Source organism: Homo sapiens, chromosome 12, assembly GCF_000001405.40.
Source record: "Homo sapiens chromosome 12, GRCh38.p14 Primary Assembly".
NCBI lineage: Eukaryota > Metazoa > Chordata > Mammalia > Primates > Hominidae > Homo > Homo sapiens.
The window spans coordinates 117,525,433-117,549,553 of NC_000012.12; the positions used below are offsets into that span (position 1 = coordinate 117,525,433).

General features: G+C 44.0%; 1 protein-coding gene across 8 annotated transcripts in view; it reads right to left on the reverse strand.

The window, feature by feature from the left end:
- KSR2 (kinase suppressor of ras 2) overlaps window positions 1-24,121 on the reverse strand; it is a 515,979-nt gene that overhangs the window by 72,421 nt on the left and 419,437 nt on the right. For 6 of the 8 annotated variants that reach the window (XM_011538224.4, NM_173598.6, XM_011538225.4 and 3 more), the window contains 4 exons: window positions 14,287-14,455; window positions 6,234-6,275; window positions 5,509-5,581; window positions 1,639-1,687 (listed from right to left, as the gene is read on the reverse strand). In XM_011538224.4, coding sequence (XP_011536526.1) covers window positions 1,639-1,687; window positions 5,509-5,581; window positions 6,234-6,275; window positions 14,287-14,455 — 333 coding nt within the window. Of the gene's footprint in view, window positions 1-141; window positions 275-1,638; window positions 1,688-3,113; window positions 3,626-5,508; window positions 5,582-6,233; window positions 6,276-14,286; window positions 14,456-24,121 lie in introns of those variants that run through there. The other 2 variants (XM_011538229.4, XM_017019209.3) reach the window with 2 other exon arrangements.

The window sequence follows — 24,121 nt, forward strand, 5'->3', positions numbered from 1 at the left end:
TCCACCTCTCTTGTGCTAAATGGGGGGATACTGAGGCTCAGAGAGAAGTGTTATAGGGATCGCCCATTCTAGTTTGCTGGAATCTTCCTGGTTTTAGCACCGAAAGTCCCATATGTTGCCCTGGGAAGTGACTCACTCCAGGTCATGCAGCCAGGCAGAAGAGGGACTAAGATCCAGGTCTCTGGACTTGAATATCCGATGGCCTTCCTATTCTTCCATAGTCTTTTGGTTTGGCTGTTTACGTGCATGTGATAAAGTTGACAGGCTAGACAGGCTAAAACAATGGGTACATCGTGCATCTGCATGTAACACATGACAACTGCCAACATGGAGTATCTTTTGCTTCCCCCAGGGAATTTGGAATTGATGATTCAAAAACTGGGAGAGGTCAGAGCTACAAGCTAGCTGTCTGAGGCTCCTACAGCAGCTGGGAGGGTAGGAGACATGAGAGTGAGGGGTTAACAGAATGGGCTTAACAATCAGACAAAGAGAGCTGAAATCTGGCCTCTGTATGACCTTGAGCCAGTTGCTTTACTTCCCTGAGGCTGCCTTTCCTCATTGTAAAGTGGGGGTAATAAAATCTGCCCCAGGGCCGGTGTGAGGTTTTAGATGAAGGCCTGTTAAGTTCTTTGTACAGACCTGACCATCTGTATTAAACACCGACTGGGAGGCCCGAGAAAATGCAGATTCCTGGGCCCCACCCAGCACTATTGGATCAAAATATCCGCAGGCCAGGACCAGGAATCTGCATTTTTATCATGCACACACACGACTCAGGCGTACTTCGGCGTAACTACCACTAGAGTTAAATGCTCAAGGTGTAGGGACCCACCTTATCAGCATGATATCTAGGGGTGCTTGGGGGCGAATTGCCTCTTGGATTCTCCTGCAGAATTGTGGGAGCAGCAGGTGGCCAGGGCCAGCGGGGATTCCCAGAGACCCTGGGACCTGATGAAACAGCCTGAGAAGGTGGCTTCTTGACTGGGTACAGCTCTTCCTGACCCAAAATACCTGGGCAAGCTGCCCCTGATGGCACATTCAGGAGAAACAATACAGGGGACATTGATTTCTCCCGGGATCATTTTTCAACAACCAAAATAGTCCCAGAAAAGAACACGATTTTCCTTGGAAGCCCTGACTCAATTCCTTTCAGTATGAGACCCAGAGCAGTTGCAGAGCTGAGGGGCCAGGACTCCATGGTTTCCAGCCAGGGCATTTCATGTATTTCTGCAGCCACTTAGGCAGGTGGGAAGAAGCCCCAGAGCATTCTCAACACTTCTAAGCCCAGCATCCCTGAGGCCCCCACCTCTTCCCACATATTCTTTTGAAGGCAGCGGGGCACATCCCCCTTGGTATTCACCCGGCCCTGAGCTGATCTTTCCACTAAGAATGCAAATCTCTTGACAATTTCCACACAACTGGCTTTTCCATGATGCATGCCATATAATGGCCCATTAGACTCAGTGCTGGGAGGGACCACTGCTTGCTAATTGTCCCAGAGTTAGAATATCCATCAGTCAGGGCCACCACAGCCCCCACCTGACCCCAAGCCCTCTGCGTCATCCAAAACGTCAGTCGGCTTTGCCAAGTTCTGGGCAGTCCCTGGAAAATGTCGCTTCACTGCTCTCTGATTCTCACCTCCGACGTTGGCTCCACTTCAATTTGAAGTAATGGATTTCCTTCCAAGCTGTAAAGAAAGAAAAATAAACGTGATCCCTAGGTGAAAAGGCAGGTCTATATATTGAGTTTAGCTATGTACGAAGAATCCCCAGATCGGAGGTCTTTACCACCAAGTCTTTATCTCACATTTCATTTCAACAGGTGTGTCTGAAATAATCCATAACCTCGACACACACACACACACACACAGACACACACACACACACACACACAGACACACACACACACACACACAGACACACACACACACACACAACACAGTGCGCAAGGACCTTGTTTTAAGTTGATTTTCCGGGCTGCTCAGGGCTCATTTTTCTTCATTGCTTTGGTTTCAACTTATCTAGCAGCTTTCTTATAAATTGGCCTAAATGCCCTGGGTAGATAAGTCCTCAGAGCTGTATATGTTTGCCAGGAAAGAATTAATCAGATCTCCGAAGTTCACACAAATTTGGAATTTCTTGGAAGGATCTCAGTGTTCTTGTTTGTCTGTTCATTCATGCATTCATGCGACTATTTAATAGATGTGTGTGCCAGGAACAGTGTTAGGCCCTTGGAGGGATATAGAATTGAAACTGGCACGGCTTCTGACCTTCAGGAATATTGTGTTCCTACTGAAGGAACTAAAGCCAGTATGTAGATACTATGCAGGGAGGCTAAAAGTAATAAGGCCAAAAGTTAGGTGTGAATTGGATAAATGGAGTGTCGTGGGAATTCCAAGATGAGAGAATTACTGGGTGTATTTGAAAGTTCCCAGTGTTTGAGGTAGGTCTTGCCAATCACATGGAATTAGGATGTGTGGAATGAAAATAAAAAGACCATATTGAGCTGGAAGACACAAGTGTGTGTGTGTGTGTGTGTGTGTGTGTGTGTGTGTGTGTGTGTGTGATGCATTCATAAGCTCATGAGCTGCAGTTCTGTTCTTAGTAAGCAAACATGTTGGGTATAGATGCTGGCGGGGCGTCACAATTTGTGTGAGCACTGCATAGGTATTATGGGATGTGCTTTGTGCAGGGTTGTCTTGTGTGCATGTGAGTTGGGTGTACACACAGGATGTTGAGGGGGATGCTGTATGCCGATAGTATAATTGGGTGTGCATTAGAGGTGTGAGGGGACTGTCAAATGCATGTGACATTTGACATGTGATGGATGTTGGGTACAGTGTGCATTAGAGGTATGTTGCAGGGTTTAGACTTGAGGATGTGCATGTGTTTTTGAAGTGCAGCAGGGAGACAGAACTGGGCTATTGAAGGCATGGAAGAGCTGAGACAGGTGAGAAAAAAGAATCACAATGAATACCCCACCCCTCCTTTCCTATTTCCCCAGTAGATTCCCCCTTCCCCATCCTCATTTGGGGGACCTCCCCTATCCTGACCCTCAGATTGCAGGAAGTGGCTGACTCCACAGAGTCAATCCACTTGCTGGAGGGGGTCCTGGTGAAAGAGTCTGAAAGACCACAAGAACTAAAAGAAGGAGAAAGAAAGGTCAACCACAAAGTGGCATTCGCCATGGTATTAACCAATTATTCATAGCACAGCCTGGGAAAGTGGAATGAACCTGCACGATGACAGCTGACATGCTGAGAACTTGATGCCCTGGGGGAGACTTGGCTGGGACAATGCAGCTGGAGTCCCTCCTCATGCCCAAAACCAAAACAGGCCACCCTCCTCTCTGCATCAAGGCGTGATTCCAGCAGCCAGGGCTATTCAAGTATTTCCTTCTGCAAAGAGTTGTCATCACTCCGCGCACATTTAAGCAGATCGCAAGCAGCTATTGACTCTGTTTTTCGCTGGTACCTCTGGACTGTCAGTTAATAACCTGGAGTTCATCTTGCACAAATTGTAGAATTGGTTTATGTGAAGCAGAGAAATGATCTCGAGCTAGATGTCAGCACCATATCCCCCGGCAAGTTGCTGCTCCTTTGATTTCAGAGATGTACCATGTAAGTCTTTAACAAAGTCCATAAGACCAGTCAGAAAAGATGAAGCAGTTAGGGGACCCAGAAGAAAAACTAAGTAGGCACAAAGGTGAGTTAGGAAACTGGTCAAATCCTAGCAAGCCCCAGGCTTCCATCGCAACCAAAGAAGTTAAGGAGGTGACTTTGTGACATCACTTTTTTCTTCTTTAGACAGAGTCTCCCTCTGTTGCCCAGGCTGGGGTGCAGTGGCACAATCCCACCTCACTGAACCTCCACCTCCTGGGTTCAAGCAATTCTCCTGCCTCAGCCTCCCAAGTAGCTGCGATTACAGTTGTGTGCCACCACGCCTGACTAATGTTTGTATTTTTAATATAGACGGGGTTTCACCAGGTTGGCTAGGCTGGTCTCCAACTCCTGACCTCAGGTGATCCTCCTACCTTGCCCTCCCAAAGTGCTGGGATTACAGGCATGAGCCACTGCGCCTGGCCAAGGTGACTTCACTTCTGCTGCACAAGCAATAAACCACCTGAAAAGAGGGTCTGTTTCCTAAGGATGCTATGCACAAAGATGTTCATTGCAGCATTATTTACAACAATGAAATATGGGAAGCAATGTAAAATCCAGCAATAGGAAAATGGTTAAGAAAATTATTCTACATCAATATGTCATTTTACACCCATTAAAAACAATATCAGACAGGTGCAGTGGCTCATGCCTGTAATCCCAGCACTTTGGGAGGCTGAGGTGGAATGATCACTTGCACCTAGGAGTTTGAGACCCACCTAGGCAACATGGTGAATCCCTGTCTCTACAAAAATAAAAAATTAAAAAAAAAATACAAAAATTAGTTGGGTGTGGTGGCACACACCTGTAATCCCAGCTACTCGGGAGGCTGAGCTGGGAGGATCATTTGAGCCCAGGAGGCTGAGGCTGCAGTGAACCGTGATTGCACCACTGCATTGCAGCCTGGGTGACAGAGTGAGACTCTGTCTCAAAACAAACAAACAAAAAACAAAAACCAACAATGTCTATGGAGAGGCTAAAATAATATTCATAAAATGTGATGTTTGGCATAAAGATAACAAAGCAGGATGGTAGCTGCTTGCATATATTGTGGGTCATAACTATGTAAAATATAAATGGAAAGAACACACATAGAAGTTTTAACAGTGGTGAGATCATGAGTGATTATTTTGCCTTTCCCTTTTTAAAGAATAGCCCACATTTTCCAAAATTAGCTTATATTATTTTTATAATAATATAAACCAGAGGTTAGCAAATTTCTTTCTGCAAAGGGTCATAGAGTAAATATTTTTGGCTTTGCAAGCCATACAGATTATGTTACAACTACTCGATTCTGCTGCTGCATGGAGAAAGCAACCATGCACAATACATTGTAAACAAATAGGCATGGCTGTGTTCCAATAAAACTTTAAATAAAAACAAGCAGGAGGTTGGATCTGTCCCATGGGCTATAGTTTGCTGATTCCATAAACCTCAATGAGACTTTTGAAAGTTATTCCATGTTCAGTGACATGGAATAATTGCCCTTTCATTAAGTACTAGCTATCACCCGGGGAAAGTTTTCTTCCTAATCACAGGGAGGTTATGGGTCCTTAGGAAACGGTCCAGCCCCTGGAAATTGCATTTGACAGGCAGGGTCAGAGACACAAGGCATAGCTGCTCGTGAGGAACAGCATTGCCTCTCTCTCCATCTCTCTGTCTGAGCTGTCACGCCCTTTCTCTTTGCCTAAGTTATTCCCTATGTCTCTCTGACCCCCTTGTACATCTCCCTCTGCCCCCAACTCCATCAGTTCCAGGAAGAGAAGGAAAGAAGATAGGGAACCTGAGTGGATTGTAGGGCCAGGGCTGGGAAGCTTGGGAAAGGGGGAAGATGTCTCTGTCTCACTTACATTGGATTCGAGGTCACCGGATGCAGGATGACCTGGGGCGCCCGGGTCGGCGTCTCCGGCACCGGCACCACATCTGAAAACCAGAGATTGAACACTCAGAAAAAAAATGTGAAGTCCACAACCCCCGCAAAGGCCTGATTCCTGGGCGACATGGCAGCCAATTTTTCACCAGATCTTGGATCTCTGCCCTTGGCCAATCTCCTTTCTCCTTTCCTGGACCACCTGGACTCTACCTGCTCAGCTGGACCAGGGTTCTGGATGACATCCTCAACAAAATTCCTCATTGTTGAATAGGGGGCTGCCAGAACCCTCAAATATCTAGCCTGAAGCATTCATTGGTCATCTCTGAATCTTTCTTTCTCCTGGGTTCCCTTTGGGATGATAAAGCCCCTTGGTTTCACATCCTCTCAGTACCCAGCTCAGGACCCTATGACCATCTCTTTCCTGCCACATGGCTCTAGACCCCTCCTCACCCTCGCCCAGTGTTCTACAGCACTCCACCCTCTCAGGCCTTTCCACGGTGCCTTGGGACCTCCTTGGGTCCCACTGTGCCCACTCTTTCTTCTCCACTTCCATGTTCAGCCATTATCCTGGAGTGTGGTGACTCCACTACCCTCTTTGATCTTAGGCACCCCCACAACATCTGCCTCCATTCATCCCAGAAACTCCTGCAATGCAGCGGGGCTTGTTCAGAAGGGGCTGCTTCCAGCTCACATGAAACTCACCTGGGAAGATGAACTGCTGCTTGTATTTGTAGTAGTGGGATGCTTGCAAAAGAAAGAAAACATCAAAGTGAGTGTCCCCAGGGAGACATCGCTTCAGGGACCAGATTGAGCTCTTACAGCCACCACATGGTCATTCTCTGCCCACCTTCAAGAGTTTCCATACTTCTGCAGACATCCCTGCAGACAAGGGACTGCAAACATGTGTAAAGAAACCAGAACTCTAAACATCCATGCCGACCCTCCCATCTGACATCTCACACTCCCTAAAATCAGACTGCTCCAACTCAAACAGACATTCTGACTACAATACCATTTTTGTGAAATGCATAATTACACACACACACACAGAAAAACTCTGCAAAGCCATAATCCAAAATATTAATTTTTTCCCCTTTTGGCAGAATGATTACAGTGGCTTAAAAAATCCTTTGTGCTTTTTCTGTACTTTCCTAATTTTCTGCAACGAGCATCGTATCAGTTTTCTTTTTTGTGCCTGTAACAAATTACTACAAACTTAGTAAAACAACACAAATGTATCCTCCTACAGTTCTGGAGGACAAAAGTCTGAAATAAGTCTTACAGGGCTGAAATCAAGCTTAGTTCCTTCTGAAGGCTCCAGGAAAATCTATTCCTTGTCTTTTCCGTTGTTTGAGGCTGCCTGCATTTGTTGGCTCATGGCTCCATCACTCCAACCTCTGCTTCTGTTGTGCCATCTCCTTCTTCTGCCTTTGACCTTCTTGCTTCCCTCTGATAAGGACTTTGTGATTATATTTAGGGACTGCCCAGATAAGCTAAGATAATCCTCCCATCTCAAGATCCATAACTTAATCATATCTTCAAAGTTCCTACTGTCCTGTAAAGCAGCATCTTCCCAGATTCTGAGATCAAGACATGGACATCTTTTGCGAATTATTCTACCTACCACAAGCATGAATTAACCTCTGTATTTAGGAAAAAATTTTATAAAAGAAATTTTCTGGACTTCACTGCCAGTTCCCTGACAATTCCTTTTACTTCTAATCTACTCGCCAGAGGCCAGGGGTCTCGGACACTTAAAGGTTTCTAACATTAGCACTTACTCCATTGGGGAATAGTGCCTGGAATAGGGGGCCAAGCGGTGTTGGGGGCAGGGGACACAGAGATTTGTGTCCTTAAGTAAATGAAGAGGGCAGGGATATAGTCAGATGAGTCTGTATTGGTGAATCCACTTTCAGAAACAATTTGATGACATTCAGGGACAAGCCACCACTGGAGTTGCTTTATCAAATATTAGCACAGTAGCTCAGAGCCTAGAGTCTAGAAGCTGATCCTCTAGGGTCAAATCTTTGCTCTGCCCTTGGCTATTTGTAGAAGCTCCAAGTCTCACTGTCCACACGTGTAAAATGAGGATAATAACAGTCCCTTCCTCAAAGGGCAAGGACCATCATTACGAGATAAAAGTGTATTGAAGGTGCTGAATTCATATTAGCTGTGAGATAAATAAACACATTTCTAAGCTCTCTTAACTAATAGACAAGAATGATTTATAGCCACGAGACAATCACATAGTTCCAAGTGCTAATGAAATCTTCTGCTTTGGGGAAGCAGACGGAACACTCTCCCTGAGGTTGAAATGTATTGATAGTTTCTTTCAGGACAGGGAGTAAGTCCTACTATCTCAGGACCTCAAACTCCTGGTTCTGTGCCTTGCACCAGTCAGTGTGCAACACACATTTGTTGAATTAACCAACTCTCTTTATCACAGATGAAACAGCAAAAACCTTGGGCTTAGTCCAATTCCAGATTATATCAAATAGTTGGAGTCCATTTTTGATTCTGGAAAATGGGATGTCCAGGGCAAGAAGCAGCTTATTCAAGGTCACAGAGCAAAGCTTTAAAAGAAAATCACCCTCCATGACTTCAGGGACTGTTTTACTATTAGATAACAGAAGTTTTTTATTACATACAACTACTTTATTAGTCAACAAGGGGCTAAAATTAAAACAGGAAAGACGACCCGAGGCTCTCAAGAGACTTGGCTGATCTTTTCCCTCCACAGCTCTGACAGTGATGGGGGATTCAGTGTCTGCAGAAAAGGTTCACTGACAGCTATGTTCTTTTTGGGCAACGGAGAGCAGGAGCTGCTTCAGAGAGTCCGAGAAGGGACAGGTGTCAGGCAACAGGACACCAGCAAATGCCTCCACACCCGAAGCCAACGCCCTCCTTGACTCCTCCCCATGTGCCATGGAACAACTCGTTCCTGGTGACTGAAAGGGAAACATATGACCAGAAGAGGAAGAAAGACATTGTTGGGAGACCTGTTCTTCCTGCTGATGACAGACACCATCAAGAAGTGGCTCTAAAGAACAACTGGTGACCTTGAGTGGGCTGCTCAGGAGAGCAGAGTGGCTCCGGGCTTTCTGGCATCCAAGATGACTCAGGACCTGGGAGGCTGCAGATGAAGTCAAAGAGACAAGCAGGCCACTCTGAAGCAGCTTCCCCTCTGGAGCCCCCATGCCTACCCTGAGGCCTCCCAAGAGAGCAGCCAGAGTGGTCTTCTAGAAGGAAGGAAGAAAGGTCAAGTCATTCTCTGCCTAAACCTTTCAACTGCATCCCATGGAGTCTCACATAAAATCTAAAATCCTGCCAGGACCAGACCCTGTAGCTCTGAGTCTCTCTGGAGGCCACTTTCCCTTGTTTATGGCACTTGGGCCCCTTCTTGTGGCTGGGCCTTTGCCTTACTTCCCCCACCTGCAAAACTCAGCCATCCAGTGACCCTCCAACCTAAATCTGTTCTCTTGCATTTGCTCAAGGACTCTTAGCCATCTTAGCTAAGAGCAAAGGCTCTTAGCCATCACAGCCTTCATCACAATCTATAATCCTATTTTCATGCATATGTTTATTTGGTTAATACCTTTTTTTCTCACTAAGCTATACTTTTCATGAGAACTGGGGCTGTTGTCGGCAGAATAATGCCTGCCCCTGCCGCTACAACATGTCCAGGTCCTAATCCCTGGAAACTGTGAATCCATTTCATTACATGGCACAAGGGACTCTTTGGATGAGATTACTTAAGGATCTTGAGGTGGGGAGATTATCCTAGATCATCTGGGTGGGCTCAATGTCACCACAAGGGTCCTCAGAAGAGGAAGGCAGGGTCAGAGAAGGAGATGTGATCATGCAAGCAGAGGCCAGAATGAGGAGGGGCGACAAGCAAAGTTATGTGGGCAGCCCCTAGATGCTGGCAAAAGGCAAGGAGATGGATTCTCCCTGAGACCTTCCAGAACAAACCAGCCCTATTGACATCTCGGTTTTTAGCCCAATGAAGCCCGTTTTGGACATCTGGCCTCTAGAACCATAAGATAATAAACCTGTGTGCTTTTAAGCCACAAAGTATGTGGTCATTTGTTACAATAACAATAGGAAGTGAATCCAGGGGCCATGTCTGGTTTGTTCCCTGGTCCAAACCTAGTGCCTAGTACAGTAGCTGGTACACAGTAGATGCGTAATAAATACTGTTAACAAAATGAATGGATGAACACAGTCTGAGGGCCAAGAAGAAAATTTGAAGAGAAAAAACTGCAGCCCTGGGCAGTGCATGAAATTCAGGTCATTCATTCATTCAACAAACATGTAATGAGTGCCTTCAGTTGCAGGCAACATGTTGGGCTTTGAATGTGGAGTGGTGAATGAAGACACATTGCCTAGTCTCATGCAGCTGGCATTCTGATGGAGGAGACAGACACTTAACAAGTGAGTATGTAAACCAGATCATGGCACAGAGTGATGAGCATAAAAGAGGCACTCAGGAGAGACTGATGGAAAGGGAAAGGGAGGAAACACTCTCATGAGCCCACATGGCCCAAGTGAGGTCTCAGAAATCCTGCAAATTCCACCAAAGGCAGATTCCACCTCCTTTCTTCTCCCTTTGAGCCATTAGAATTCACCATTTCCTGGAGTTGTGTGTGTGTGTGTGTGTGTGTGTGTGTGTGTGTGTGTGTGTGTTTCAAGATGGCTCTAGGTGGCTCCAAAGACAGAAGGTATTTGGCTCCAAAGAAAGAAGGTATTTGAACACTCCAGCCTCAGAAACCCATAAGACAATCATTTTCGAAGCCTCTTCATCTGTCTTGCCATGATGGATGCTACCACAACTCTGCTCATCAGTAGCAGTGAACTAGCCCCATGTTACTGATGAGAAACAGACCTAAACAGAAGCAATACCATGCTCAAAATCACACAGCTAGCAAGGAGCAAAGCTGGGATCCAACTCCAGGTCTGTCTGTCCATGCAGCACTCTTGATGTCACCTTATACTGAGCCATGTCCACATGGCCCCAGGACTCAGGGAAAGGCTGATAACAGGAGGTCCACCCAACTGGCAGCACACAGTCACAAATACCACCGAGGCTGCACACGCCATTCTTGGGGTTCTTATATCCTTTTCACCACATGTCCTGAGATTAACAAATGAGTTAAATGGCTGGTCAACCCCCCCAGCCCCTTTTGGACAAGAATGTTCTAGATGAATCAGTGCTGGGGACATTGTTATGCCTAAGCTTTAGCTTAAATAGCCTTCAGAAAACTCAACATCTGGCAGGGACCCACAGGCAAAGCTCCATTTTTCATCAACAGAAGCTCCCAGTCAAGAGTGGGACAGCTAGCCAGATCTTTGTACAAACACGACAGGTACTCTTGACCCTGGGAGTGTTTTGCTAAAACCACCTAAGACACAGGGTAGGCCCAACTGTACTTCCAAAAGGTTCTGTTTTGTTTTCCATTTCAGCACTGAATTTTATTATTATTCGATTCTAAAATGGATGCACACTCATATATATCGTAGAAGTGCATGAGATAAAGTCCCTGTCCTCAACAGCTGCCATGAAGTTCTTCTAGACTTTACTGCACACATGCCAACACATATATGCACACTGGTACACAGACATATATATATGTAAATATTTTACAATAAATAGAATATTATACTGATGACTTTGCAAATCACTTATTTTCTACTTAAGAAACATTATGGATATCTTTCCATGTCAGGAAATCTATATAGAGTACTACATTCCTTTGAAAGTTTGCAGAATATTTGGTTATACGGATATATGTGTGTATTCAACCATTCACCACCTACTCTTGATGGGCATTTGGGTTAATTTCAGTTTTCACTGTTACAGTGAAGTCCTTACACACAGATCTTTGCACCCTAGTGCAAGCGTTTCTGTATATAAAGTCCTAGAAGTGATATAATGGTCAAAGGAATGCACATTTAAAACTTTAACAGGGCTGGCTATGGTGGTTCACACCTGTAATCCCAGCACTTTGGGAGGCCAAAGTGGGTGGATCACCTGAGGTCAGGAGTTCGAGATGAGCCTCACCAATATGGTGAAACCCTGTCTCTACTAAAAATACAAATATTAGCTGAGTGTGGTGGTGTGCACCTGCAGTCCCAGCTACTCAGGAGGCTGAGACAAGAGAATTGCTTGAACCCGGGAGGTGGAGGTTGCAGTGAACCAAGATCGCACCACTGCACTCCAGCCTGGGTGACAGAGTGAGACTCCATCTCAAAACAACAACAACAACAAAAAAACTTTAACAGAAAATGCCAAATTACCTTCCCCAAATGTTGAGTTCAGTTCATACTCCTATGTCAAGGTATATGGGGATTTCATCTTTCATTCTACAATTCTGTCTAGGTCCTCATATTAATTAGCAGTGATGATGAGAAATGCAAATAAAGATAGCCACTGTACTTTATTATTATTGTATTTAATAATAATCCAAGGAGCCCAGATTTGTTGAGGTCTTCAATGAAACTGTCACCCTGCTAAGCTTTGTCCATGTATTATGCCATTTCTTTCTAAAACAATTATCTAAGGTGGGTACTATTATGATCTCCATTTTATAGATGAGAACACTGAGGCCCAGAGAGGCGAGTTATTTGTCCAGCATCACACAGACATTAAGTGGTAAAGCTGAGATTTGAACCTAAGCAGCTTGGCTGCAGAACCCATACTCTAACTGCCATGCTGAAGTGCTTTTACCCAAAGGACCCCTTAGCCCAGTCCCCAAAGAGGGCCAGGACCTTGTCATGGCCTGTCATGGAGCAGATGGGGATAAGGTGGCACGCTAGAACAGCAAATTGTCAGGCACCCCTTCTTGAAGACTCTGGCTGAGGGAAGGAAGGAGCTAAGGGACACCCTGATTACTCCTGGCTAGGCAGGTCTCTTGTCTGAAGATGCCAGCAGATTCTTTAAGGGATGAAAAGAGCTGTGGTCCTTTTGTGCACAGTTCTCCCATAAAACGGCCCTTCCCCATCCCTTGGTCCATAAATAAGTGCCAAACAATTTCAGAGAAAATACTCCTGAAGTCAGTGTCTCCAGGGAGTGAAGTGGCTATTGGAAAGCATCGGGCTCACTTCCCCCAGGTGTGGGTGGTCATGGGAAGTCTAACGGTCTTTTTTTTTCCCTTCATCCCCTTCTGAAGAAGTAAAAATGAACAACCCTGGAGATGGCGGTGGGAGCCTTCTGTCTGTGGAAGTGCCGGGCAATGAATCGGTGGCATTTACTAAGACGATTCAGCTGGTGACTCACATTGCAGTCCTTGGTGGCTGCCAGATGAGTGGCCCCTACACTAGGTGGATATGAGGCTGTTAAATTCAGACTTGAACTTAACAAAAAACCCAAAGTTCCAAGAATTCAAAATATGTGCCATCTCTGTGGATATAACCCAAATCAAAACAGTGTGGGCAGGTGCTGTGATTGGCTTGTCCTCAGATGGATGGATGGTTGCATGTGGGTGCCGCCCAGGTGTGGGGTGGGGCCTCTGTTTGCCTCCTGGCCACTCACTCATGCCTGGTTAAGCTTAGAGGTGTGAACTGTGGCCAAGGACCTGGGATTTTTTTCATAGTGTGAAGCTTGTTGACTCAGGAGGAAATCAGGTGCTAGACCAGAGCATCCAATGGAACTTTCAGTGATGATGGAAATGTTCTACACCTGAGCCATTCAGTACGGCAGCCACCAGCCACATGTGGCTACTGAGCCCTTGCAATGTGGCTAGTGTAACCGATAAGCTAATTTTTAAATTATATTTAATTTTAATTTATTTAAATGTAAATAGCCACACATGGCTAGCAGATACCATGTTGAACAAAACAGATGTAGACTCTGGTTCCAACTGGCCATGCCAGTCCCACCAGCCTTCTTGTTGAAGCCAGCTGCAGTGCCATAAATATGGCTGAGTTGGAAGCATTCTTAGGGCCCTAGCAGAGGAACCGGGCCAGGCTGGACCCTGGAAGAGATGGGGAGATTCTTAGGTCTCGTCTACCTGAAGGAAAAAAAAATCCCATTCTTAGGTCTAATGACAAAGGAGGTCAGGAAACCACAGTGTCCCATGAGTGGCTTCTCTACTATCATCTCATAGCCCAGTGCATACTCTCTGGTCAACAGTCCAGGTACCTTGGAATTCCTGAGCTAGAGGAACCTTCCAGATTATCTTGTCCAACTACATCTTTTCAGAGGTGAGACACAGCAAGAATGCAATAGACCTGGATCTTGACTCCAGGAGTCCAGACTGCTCAGTGACAGCCCTGTCCTCACATCTGGGTTAAGACTCAGTATGCAGCCCTGCTCAGACATGTGCCCCTAAGATCTCCAGCACAGGATCTCACTGCCAATTTTAACCAATTTAGCTCATAAGACAACTGTCATCTCCAGAGCCAATGGCTCCCTTCTGTGACTTAGACTTAGGCGAAGACCCTGGGTTGTAGCTCGCCAAAAGACAGAGTCTCTAAGAGTTCCTGCACCTCTTTGAGCCTCTGTTTCTTCATCTGTAAAATGAGCTGATAATGCTTACCTTGTGGCTGTTCCAAAGATTAAATAAGTGATATAAGGGTAATTGCTTAGGGTACGATAAGGGTCAGTCCACATACTTCCTTGCCCCTCTCTGGTCATTGACCCATTCGCTTTCCTGCAGAGACTTGCTGCATCAGGGCTCTGGCATGAACCCACCCCCTCCCTAATCTCTGCCCCTCCAACGCTGCACCCCTCATGTCTCCCCAAGCATGGAGGTACCTGGCAGGTTGAAGTTCTTCTGCTGCCGTGTGCACTGTGGGGAAGGGTGTAGGGGAGAAGGCGGCGTGGCACTAGGAGGGAGGGGGGGTGCTGGCGAGGAGGGCGTGGAGGACGTCGTGGAGGAGGGGTTGCTGCTGGAGTCTGGCTGGTAAGGGACAGGGATGTGGTCCTGCAGAGAGAAAACAGGGTAGGAGTCAGGGACAGGCAGGGAAGCAGAAACACAGCAGAAAGAGTGGGCTGAGCAGGAGAGGCCCCCACCCCAGCCCCTGCAACAATTCTTGCCCTTTCCTCAGCCACCAGATCCTTCCGAAGTCCCTCCCGCTTCATCAGCCCCATTGGGCTGCATCCAGCTGTGGAAGGAACAGCCTCTGGAGTCGAATTCCTGTCCACTGCTTGGACCCCAGAGTGAAAGGTGACCACGTAATGAAAACCAAACAGGTGACAGTCACTCACCCTGTGCCTCTTTGATTCTGAAAAACCCCATGCAGAGGTGTCCAGAGTACCCCTCCCATCCCAACACCTCTCCTCCCAAGTGTTTATTAAAGAATCAACAGTCTGACAGCTCCAGAGAGAATGTGAGAGTGAGCCTTCAGCATCTTAGCTTGGGTCACAGCTGGAACCAGCACTGCCTCTCCTCACCCCAGACCAGCTCAAAAACAAGGAGAGAGAGAGAATCCATGTGTGCATTTTCGGAATGGCCTGCTGGGGTGGACTTCCAAGCACAGTAGTGGGTTGAACAGTGTCCCCCAAAAGACGTCCACCCAGGACCTCTGAATCTGATCATATTTAAAATAAGGGTCTTTGCAGACATAATTTAAGGTAAGGATCCCGAGATGAGATCATCGTGGATTCGGGTGAGTCCTAAATCCAATGACAAATATCCTAAATCCAATGACAAATATCCAAATCATCCTGGATTCGGGTGAGTCCTAAATCCAATGACAGACATATGGAGAGGAAAGTCATGTGAAGATGGAGGGAGAGATTGGAGTGATGCAGACACAAGCCAAGGACTGCCGGAGCCACCAGAGACTGGGAGAGAGGCATGGAACAGATTGTCCTTCAGAGCCTCTAGAAGGCAACCTTGCTGGCATCTTGACATTGAATTTCTGGCCTCTAGAACTGTGTGAGAATAAATTTCTGTTGTTTTAGCCACCCAGTTTATGCTCTTTTGTTACAGCAGCACCAGGAAATTAGTATCAGCAGGAACCGGAGTCAGGAAAACCTGGACTCAAATTCCACAGCCACCTCTTTTCTGTACATCCTGGGCAAAATGCCCAACCTTTCCATTCCTCGGTTTTGTCCTCTGTAAAATGGGAGTAATGATAGCATCAAGTGCACAGGGCTGCATGAAGATTAAATGATGTGGAGGAATGGGAGGCAGGGAGGCAGGCAGGGGGGAACAGTAGCTGATGTGGAGGAATGGGAGGCAGGGAGGCAGGTAGGGAGGAACAGTAGCTGATGTGGAGGAATGGTAGGCAGGGAGGAACAGTAGCTGATGTGGAGGCATGGGAGGCAGGGAGGCAGGCAGGGGGGAACAGTAGCTGATGTGGAGGCATGGGAGGCAGGGAGGCAGGCAGGGAGGAACAGTAGCTGATGTGGAGGCATGGGAGGGAGGGAGGCAGGCAGGGAGGAACAGTAGCTGTATGCATTTGCAGGCATGTTCTCCTGGAAAGGGACAGATTGGTGCTGCCTGAAGCTTGAAAAGCTTTTCACCTCTTTGGGACTTTTTGCTTTCACCAGATGGCAAGAGATGAGCAAAAGCAGCAAACCTCCACATGATATAAAAGGGATTCCTACCTCTCAAAGCCAGCAGAGCTAAGTGTTCCCAGGGGAGCCTTCATCTGTTCACCCACAGGACAGTGGTCACTTGATCCCTCCATTACTCAGAGGTCCACTACTCATATGGACCGGGTACCCAAAGATGGTATAGTGTGGTCAACAGGTATGCTTATCTGCCAACTCCAAGAGTAGGTGTGGCGAACACCCAATAGCAAAGGAGGTCAAGGGCAGAGGGGAAATGGACATTCTCTGTCTAGATGCTTACTGGGTGTCCAGCCAGGTTGTACATTTCACCTTCCCAAAGCCCACTCCACTGCCACTAGATCCACACTGCTTCTGGGTCAGTGAGTCTCTCCTTATCCTTTCTTTAAATTTTATTTTTATTTATTTATTTTTGTTTTTTGAGATGAGATCTCATTCTGCGGCCTGGGCTGGAGGGTAATGGCACAATCACGGCTCACTGTAGCCTCAGCCTCCTGGGTTCAAGCGATCCTCTCACCTGAGCATCCTGAGTACCTGGGACCACAAGCATGCACCACCATGCCCAGCTTTAAAACACTTTTTTTGGTAGACACAGGGTCCCACTATGTTGCCCAGGCTGGTTTCAAACTCTTGGGCTCATGCGATCTGATCCTCCCCCCTCAGCCTCCCAAAGTGCTAGGATTACAGGTGTGGGTCAATGCGGTCGGCCTCCTTATCCTTAACATGGGCTAAGAACATCCACCTTGTAGGTCTGTTGTGAAGTTTAAATGAGTTATGTAGGTACCCACCTCCTTCGTATTGAGTAGAGGTGCTTTGTCATCAATAAATGGTAGTAGCTATTATGTTAATGATAGTATATTTCTATAATTAAACTTTTTATTTTGAGATCATTGTGGATTCACATGTAGTTGTAAGAAGAGAGAGATCTTATGTTTCCCTTACTCAGTTTTCTCTACTGATAACATCTTATGAAACTCTAGTACAATATCACAGCCCAGATACTGAACTGATACAGTCAAGATACAGAACAGACCCATCAAAACGAAGATCCCTCATGTTGCCCGTTTATAGCCATACCCATTTCCTGTTCTCTCCTCACCATCCTCCCCCCATATTTAACCCCTGGCACTTCTAATCTATTCTCCATATCTGTCCAGTATAATAAACACTAGCTGTATGTGGGTTTTTTTGAGATAGAGTCTTGCTACATTACCCAGGCTGGTCTCAAACTCCTGGACTCAAGCAATCCCATTGCCTCAACCTCAATCCCAAGTAGCTGGGATTAGAGATGTGTACCCTGGTGCCCAGTTCTATTCTCTGTTTCTATAATTTTATCATTTCACTGTTTTATAAGTGGAATCATACAGTATGTAACCTTTTCAGATTGCCTTTTTTCACTCAGAATAATTCTCTATAGATTCATCCAAGTTGTTGCAGGTATCGATAGTTTCTTCCTTTTGATTGCCGAGTTTCTTCCTTTTGACTGATTGCTGAGTAGTACTCTATGATATGGATGTACTAGAGTTTGTTTAAACATTTACCCACGGAAGGAGATCTAAGTTGTTTTCTATTTTTTGCCATTGTGGATAAAGCTGCTATAAACATTTATTAACAGGATTTATGTGAACATATGTTTTTATTTCTCTGGAATAAATGCTCAGAAGTGTAGTTTCTGGATAATATAGTAATAACATGTTTAGTTTTAAAAGAAAATGCAAAAACTGTTCTCTAGAGTAGCTGCACCATTTTACACCAGCAATGTACAAATGATTGATTTTTCTCTGCCTCTTAGCCAGTGTTTGGTATTGTCACTGTTTGTTATTTTAGCCTTTCTAATTGGAGTGTAGTGATATCTCATTGTGCTTTAATTTACATTTCCTAATGGCTAAGATATTCAACATCTTTTCGTGTGCTTACTTGCCATCTGTATATCCATTTTGGTCTTGATGACTGTATCTATATAAGAAGTCTTGAGATCAGGTAGACTGATTCCTCTCACTTTATTATTTCACAAAAGAATAAAGCTGTTGTAGATATTCTAGTTCCTTTGTCTTTTCACATAACTTTTAGAATAATCATGTCTTTATTTATAAAAATAATCTTTCTGGGATCTTGTTATAAATTGTGTTAAACCTATATATGAATTTTGAGAACTGACTTCTTAACTATGTTGAATCTTCCAATCCATGAACATGGTATGGGTATCAGTTTCCTAGGACTGCTGTAACAAAGTACCATAAACTGAGTGGGTTAAAACAACAGAAATTTATTCTCTCACAATTTTGGAGGGCAAAAGTCCCAAGTCAAAGTATTGGCAAGGCCGTGTCTCAGGATCCCTCTGAGACTTTAGGTAGAATCCTTCTTTGCCTCTTCCTACCTTCTGGTGATGGCCAGCAATTCTTGTCATTACTTAGATTGCAGTTGCATCACTCTAATCTCTGCCTCTGTTGTCACATGGTGCTCTCCCTGTGTGTCTCTGTTTCTCTTCTCCTCTTCTGATAAGGCCGAAAGTCATATTGGATTAAGGGACCACCCTTCCAGTATACCCTCATCTAAACTTGATTATATCTGCAAAGTTCCTATTTCCAAAGATCACATTCACAGGTCCTGGAGGTTAGGACTTTAGCATATCTTTGTGCGGAATACAGGCTGAACCACAGTGGTATCTGTCTCCATTTCTTTTGATCTTTGTTTCCTTTCACCAGCATTTTGTAGTTTTCAGCATACAAGCCCTATACATGTTTTATCAGATATACACCAAAGTATTTCCATTTTGTTCAGCAATTGTAGATGGCATGTTTCTAATTTAGGTTTCCATATGTTAATTGCTAGTATATAGAAATATAACTGATTTGGGCCAGGCACGGTGGCTTGCGCTTGTAATCCTAGCACTTTGGGAGGCCGAGATGGGCAGATCACAAGGTCAGGAGTTCGAGACCAGCCTGGCCAATATAGTGAAACCCCATCTCTACTAAAAAATACAAAAATTAGCCAGGTGCGGTGGCACACACCTGTAGTCCCAGCTACTTGGGAGGCTGAGGCGGAAGAATCACTTGAACCTGGGAGGCAGAAGTTGCAGTGAGCTGAGATCATACCACTGCACTCCAGCCTGGGTGACAGAATGAGACTCTGTCTCAAAAAAAAAAAAAGAAGAAATATAACTAATTTGTATTGATTGTGTATTCTGTGACCTTGCTGAATTCACTAATTAGTTCTAAGAACTTTTTAAAAAATATATTCTTTGGGATTTTTGTATTTTCTTTGGGATTCTCTACATGGATGATGTCATTTGCAAATAAGGACATTTTTATTTCTCCCTTTCCAATCTGCATGTCTTGTTTCCTTTTCTTGCCTTACTGTATTGGCCAGAACTTCCAGCATTGTGTTGAATAAGAATGGTGAGAGTGGATGTCCTAGCTTGTTCCTAGCTGTAGAGGAAAACATTCAGTTTTTCATCACTAAGTATAATGTTAGCTGTAGTATTATTTTAGGTGCTTTTATCAAGTTGAGGAATTTCCTCATTTTTACTTTTCTGATTTCTTTTATCACGAATGGTTTTTGGATTTTGTCAAACAAGTTTTTTGTATCAATTAATATAACCATGTTATTTTTTATTCTTAGCTTGTTAATATGGTGAATTATGTTAATTGATTTTTCAGATATTGAACCAGTCTTTTATCCCTGGAATAAACTCTACTTGTATATATTGCTGAACTCTATTTTCTAAATATTTTGTTAAGAATTTTCGCATCTATATTAATGAAGAATATTAGTCTGTAGTTTTCCTTTTTTGTACTCTGGCTTTAGTATCAGGGTAATGTTGGTATATATCATGAGTTGGAAAGTATACTCTTCTATTTTTTGGAAGAGATTGTGTACAGTTGGTGTTAATTCTTCTTTAAACATTTGGTAGTATTCTCTGGTGACACCATCTGGAGATTTCTTTTTTTGGAGTAAGACAGTTTTAAAATTACGAATTCCGTTTCCTTAATGTTTACAGGGCTATGCAAATTATACATTTCATATTGGGTGAGTTGTGGAAGTTTGTGATTTTCAAGAAATTGGTTTATTTCATTTAAGCTATAAAATGTATATGTGTAGCATATCTCTTTATCCATTTGATGACTGCAGGGTCTGTAGTGATGTCCCATCCCATTCCTGACAATTGTAATCAGAGTTTTCTCTTTGTTGGTCTTGCTACAGGTTTGTCAATCTCATTTTTAATTTCTGTTTTATTTTTCCTGCCTTCCTGTGAGTTAAACATTTTTTGGAGTTTCATCTTGACATAGCTAGAGTATTTTTGAGTGTATCTCTTTGTATAGCTTTTTAAATGGCTGCTGTAGGTAGTATATTATATATACATAACTTATTACAGTCTACTGGTGTTGACATTTTACCAGTTTGAGTGAAGTTTTCCTTTATGTCCTTACCCTCCTCCTTTAATAATTGTCTTAAATATTTCCCGTACATATATATAGAACCACATCAGAAAGTGTTACAATTTTTGCTTCAACTCTCAAGCATAATTTGGAAAATTAAGAGGAGAAGGTATATGTACTATTGTATCTACTAGTATTTGTACACTTTTTACTGTTTTCTGATTTTCCAAGATTCTTTATTACTTCTTTTCTGTTTAGAAAATACTTTTCAGTTATTCTTTCAGCGTAGGTGTACTTATGGCAAACAGTCTTAGTTTTCCTTCATCTGACAATGTCTTGATTTCTCTTTCAGTTTTGAAGAATATTTTCACTATGCATGGAATTCTGAATTGAAAACTTTTCTTTCAGCACTTGAAAAAATGCTGTGCCACTTTCTTCTGGCCTCCATGGTTTCTGATGAGAAATTTGTTGTCATTTGAATGGTTTCTCCCATAGGTAAAGTATTGTTTCTCTGTTGTTGCTTTCAAGATGCTTTTGTCTGTCTTCAGTTTTCAGAAGTTTGACATGACATATCCTAGCATGGATTTCTTTGAATTGACCTTCTTTGACGTTTTCTGAGATTCTTTAATCTGTAGGTTTATGTCTTTTGCCCAGTTTGGGAAGTTTTCAACCATTATTTCTTTAAGAATGTTTTCAGCTCTGTCCTCTTTCTCCTCTTCTCTCTTTCCAGGACACCGATGACACCAATGTTAGATTTTTTATTATAATCCCCAAGGGTCCTTGATACTCTGCTCAGGCCATTTTCTCTCTGTTATCCAGACTGTGTAATTTCTATCATTCTATCTTCAAGTTCACAAATTCTTTCCTCTGCCCCATCCAACTTGTTATTGAGTCCATCCACTGAATTTTTTATCTGGTTATTGTATTTTCTAATTGTATGTTCTAAATTTTCTAAATGCTTCTTCTTTTTATCTTCCAATTCTTTGCTGACACTTTCTGTTTCTTTTCAGGGACTTCTTATGTTTTCATTAGTCTCAAGAACGTTCATAATTGCTTATTGAAGTATTTTTATAATGAATGCTTTAAAAGTGTCATCAGATAATTCTAAAATCCCAGTCATCTCAGCAATGGCTTCTATTGATTGTCTTTCTTTTTCTATTCAGCTTGAGATCTTTCTGCTTCTTGCTATGACAAGTAATTTTCAACTGAAGCCTGAACATGTGAGTATTATGTTGTGAGACTTTGGATGTTATTTAAACCTCTTGTTTTTGCTGGATTTCTGACATTGCTCTAGCAGAGAAAGGGGAGGTACTGCCTTGCTATTGCCAGGGATGGGTAGAAATTTAAGTTCTCCATTCAGCTTCTGTTAGTCCCTGAAGAGGGAAGGAGTTCCTCATTATTGCTGGGCAGAGGTTGAAATCCAGCTCCCCCATAGACCTTTGCTGATACCACTCTTGCTGGGAGGGGTAAGAATGCCAAAAAGCAGGGAGCAGACTTGTTAATGATGGTGGTGTAAAAGCTCTGACTCTCCACTAGGTCTCCTTGAATCCTACCTCAGCAGGTGTGGGAGGGAGTGCTGCATTATTGCTGGGTGAGGGGGGTGTTCCTTCCCACCAGCAGGGATGACAGTCCCTACTCAGCCTTCTCTAACACCAGCCTGGCAGGAGGATTGGGATGCCAGGGTTCAGCTTGACAAGGATGGGAGTCTAGACTCCCTACTTGATCTTTGCTGTTATGGGTAGGTAGGGCAACAGATTTTTCTGTGGTGTTTGGCTGGGGTAGGACGGTTATTGGGTAAAAGTTTTCTTGCTAAGCTGTCCCTTTCCTGGGCCTTTGACTAGATGGGGCAGGCTTTTGTTGGGGCTTATTTTGTTTTTACTCATTGACACATCCAGGTTGCCAGCTTCTTCAGTTCTAAGTCTGGGATACATGAAGCTAAAAGAAGTCTCAGGCGGCCAGGTGCAGTGGCTCATGCCTGTAATCCCAGCACTTTGGGAGGCCGTGGCAGGTGGATCACAAGGTCAGGAGTTCAAGACCAGCCTGGCCAACTAGTGAAACCCCATCTCTACTAAAAATATTCTGAAAATTAGCCAGGCGTGGTGGTGGGTGCCTGTAGTCCCAGCTATCTGGGAGACTGAGGCAGGAGAATCGCTTGAACCCGGGAAGCAGAGGTTGCAGTAAGCTGAGATTGCGCCACTGCATTCCAGCCTGGGTGACAGTGAGACTCCATCTTAAAAAAAAAAAAGTCTTAGGGAACTCACCACTGTGTCATTGCTTGGGTCCCTAGCTGGTCTGCCTCCTTCTTGCCCTCTTTCAGAGTGGTCTTATGTTTATTTTATATACAATGTCCATTGTTTTTAGCTGTACAGTTGACCCTTGAATAACACAGGTTTGCATTGCAATGGTCCACTTATATGTGAATTTTCTTCCACCTCTGCCACTTCTGAGGCAGTAAGACCAACCCCTCCTCTTCCTCCTTTTCCTCAGCCTACTCAACATGAAAACGACAAGGATGAAGACCTTTATGATGATTTGTGTCCACATAATGAATAGTAAATATATATTTTCTTCCTTATAATTTTCTTAATAACATTTTCTTTTCTTTAGCTTACTTTATTGTAAGAATATGGCATATAAGACATAGAACATACAAAATACATGTTAATAAACTCTGTGTTATTGGTAAGGCTTCTGATCAACAGTGGGCTATTAGTAGTTAAGTTTTGGGGGCATCAACAGTTATATGTGGATTTTCAACTGTGGGGGTGGGGTTGGCATTTCTCACCCCCACATTTTTCAAGGGTCAACTGAACTTAGTGGGAGGAATATGGAAAAGTACAATTACTCCATCTTCCTGGAAGCAGAGTAACTAATATTGTTAGTTCATTTAATCTTGGCAGCAAACCTGCAAGTTAGGTGTTTATCTCTGGAGGGAGAAACTAGACCCTCTCCAGAGAGTCTCTGAGAAAGGGAAACTCAACTATGATTGTGTAGACAAACAAATGGATACTGGCCCCATGGACAATTAACATTCCCAAGCTATAGAATTTTCCCTGGAATAACAGATCTCCCCAATTTGATCTCAGACCCTGTGTGGAAGAAATAAATGTGAGCCCCAGTAGAAGGCAGGGAACATCTGTCCACTTGGACATAGTCTTACTATTTTAGGCAAGGTTATGCTGTAGTTCATTCTAACCACCTGCCACGCAAGACCACCTTGAAGGTAACTCTGATCCAACATTAGTAGAAAGGCATCAGGAAGCCTTCGCACTCTATCTTAATTTATCTAATGGTAATTGCATTTCCATAACAATGGACATATTAGTGTAAGGAATAATATGTCAGTGACGTGTGGAGTGAAGATTTATCATTTATGACTATGATATAGAAAGAAGCTCCCACTTGGCCCAGGGGGCAGGTGAGGTTTTTCAAGAAAGCTGGAGGCCAATTATATTACACGAGGAAAAGAAAGTCAGGCATCTATCCACCCTCCCAAGCCTTGCTCTTTGAACTTGCTGGAAAATTTCAAGAAGTTTCCATAGATGCTCTGCAAAAAGATGGTCATCGTCTAACTTTAAAAAAAAAACCATATAGGCTTGTGCTTCTACATGGACATTTGTCAGCTTATCTGTCTCATCCTCTAGACTAGGCACTCCCTGAGACAGGGAGTATGTTATATGCATCAGCACCTA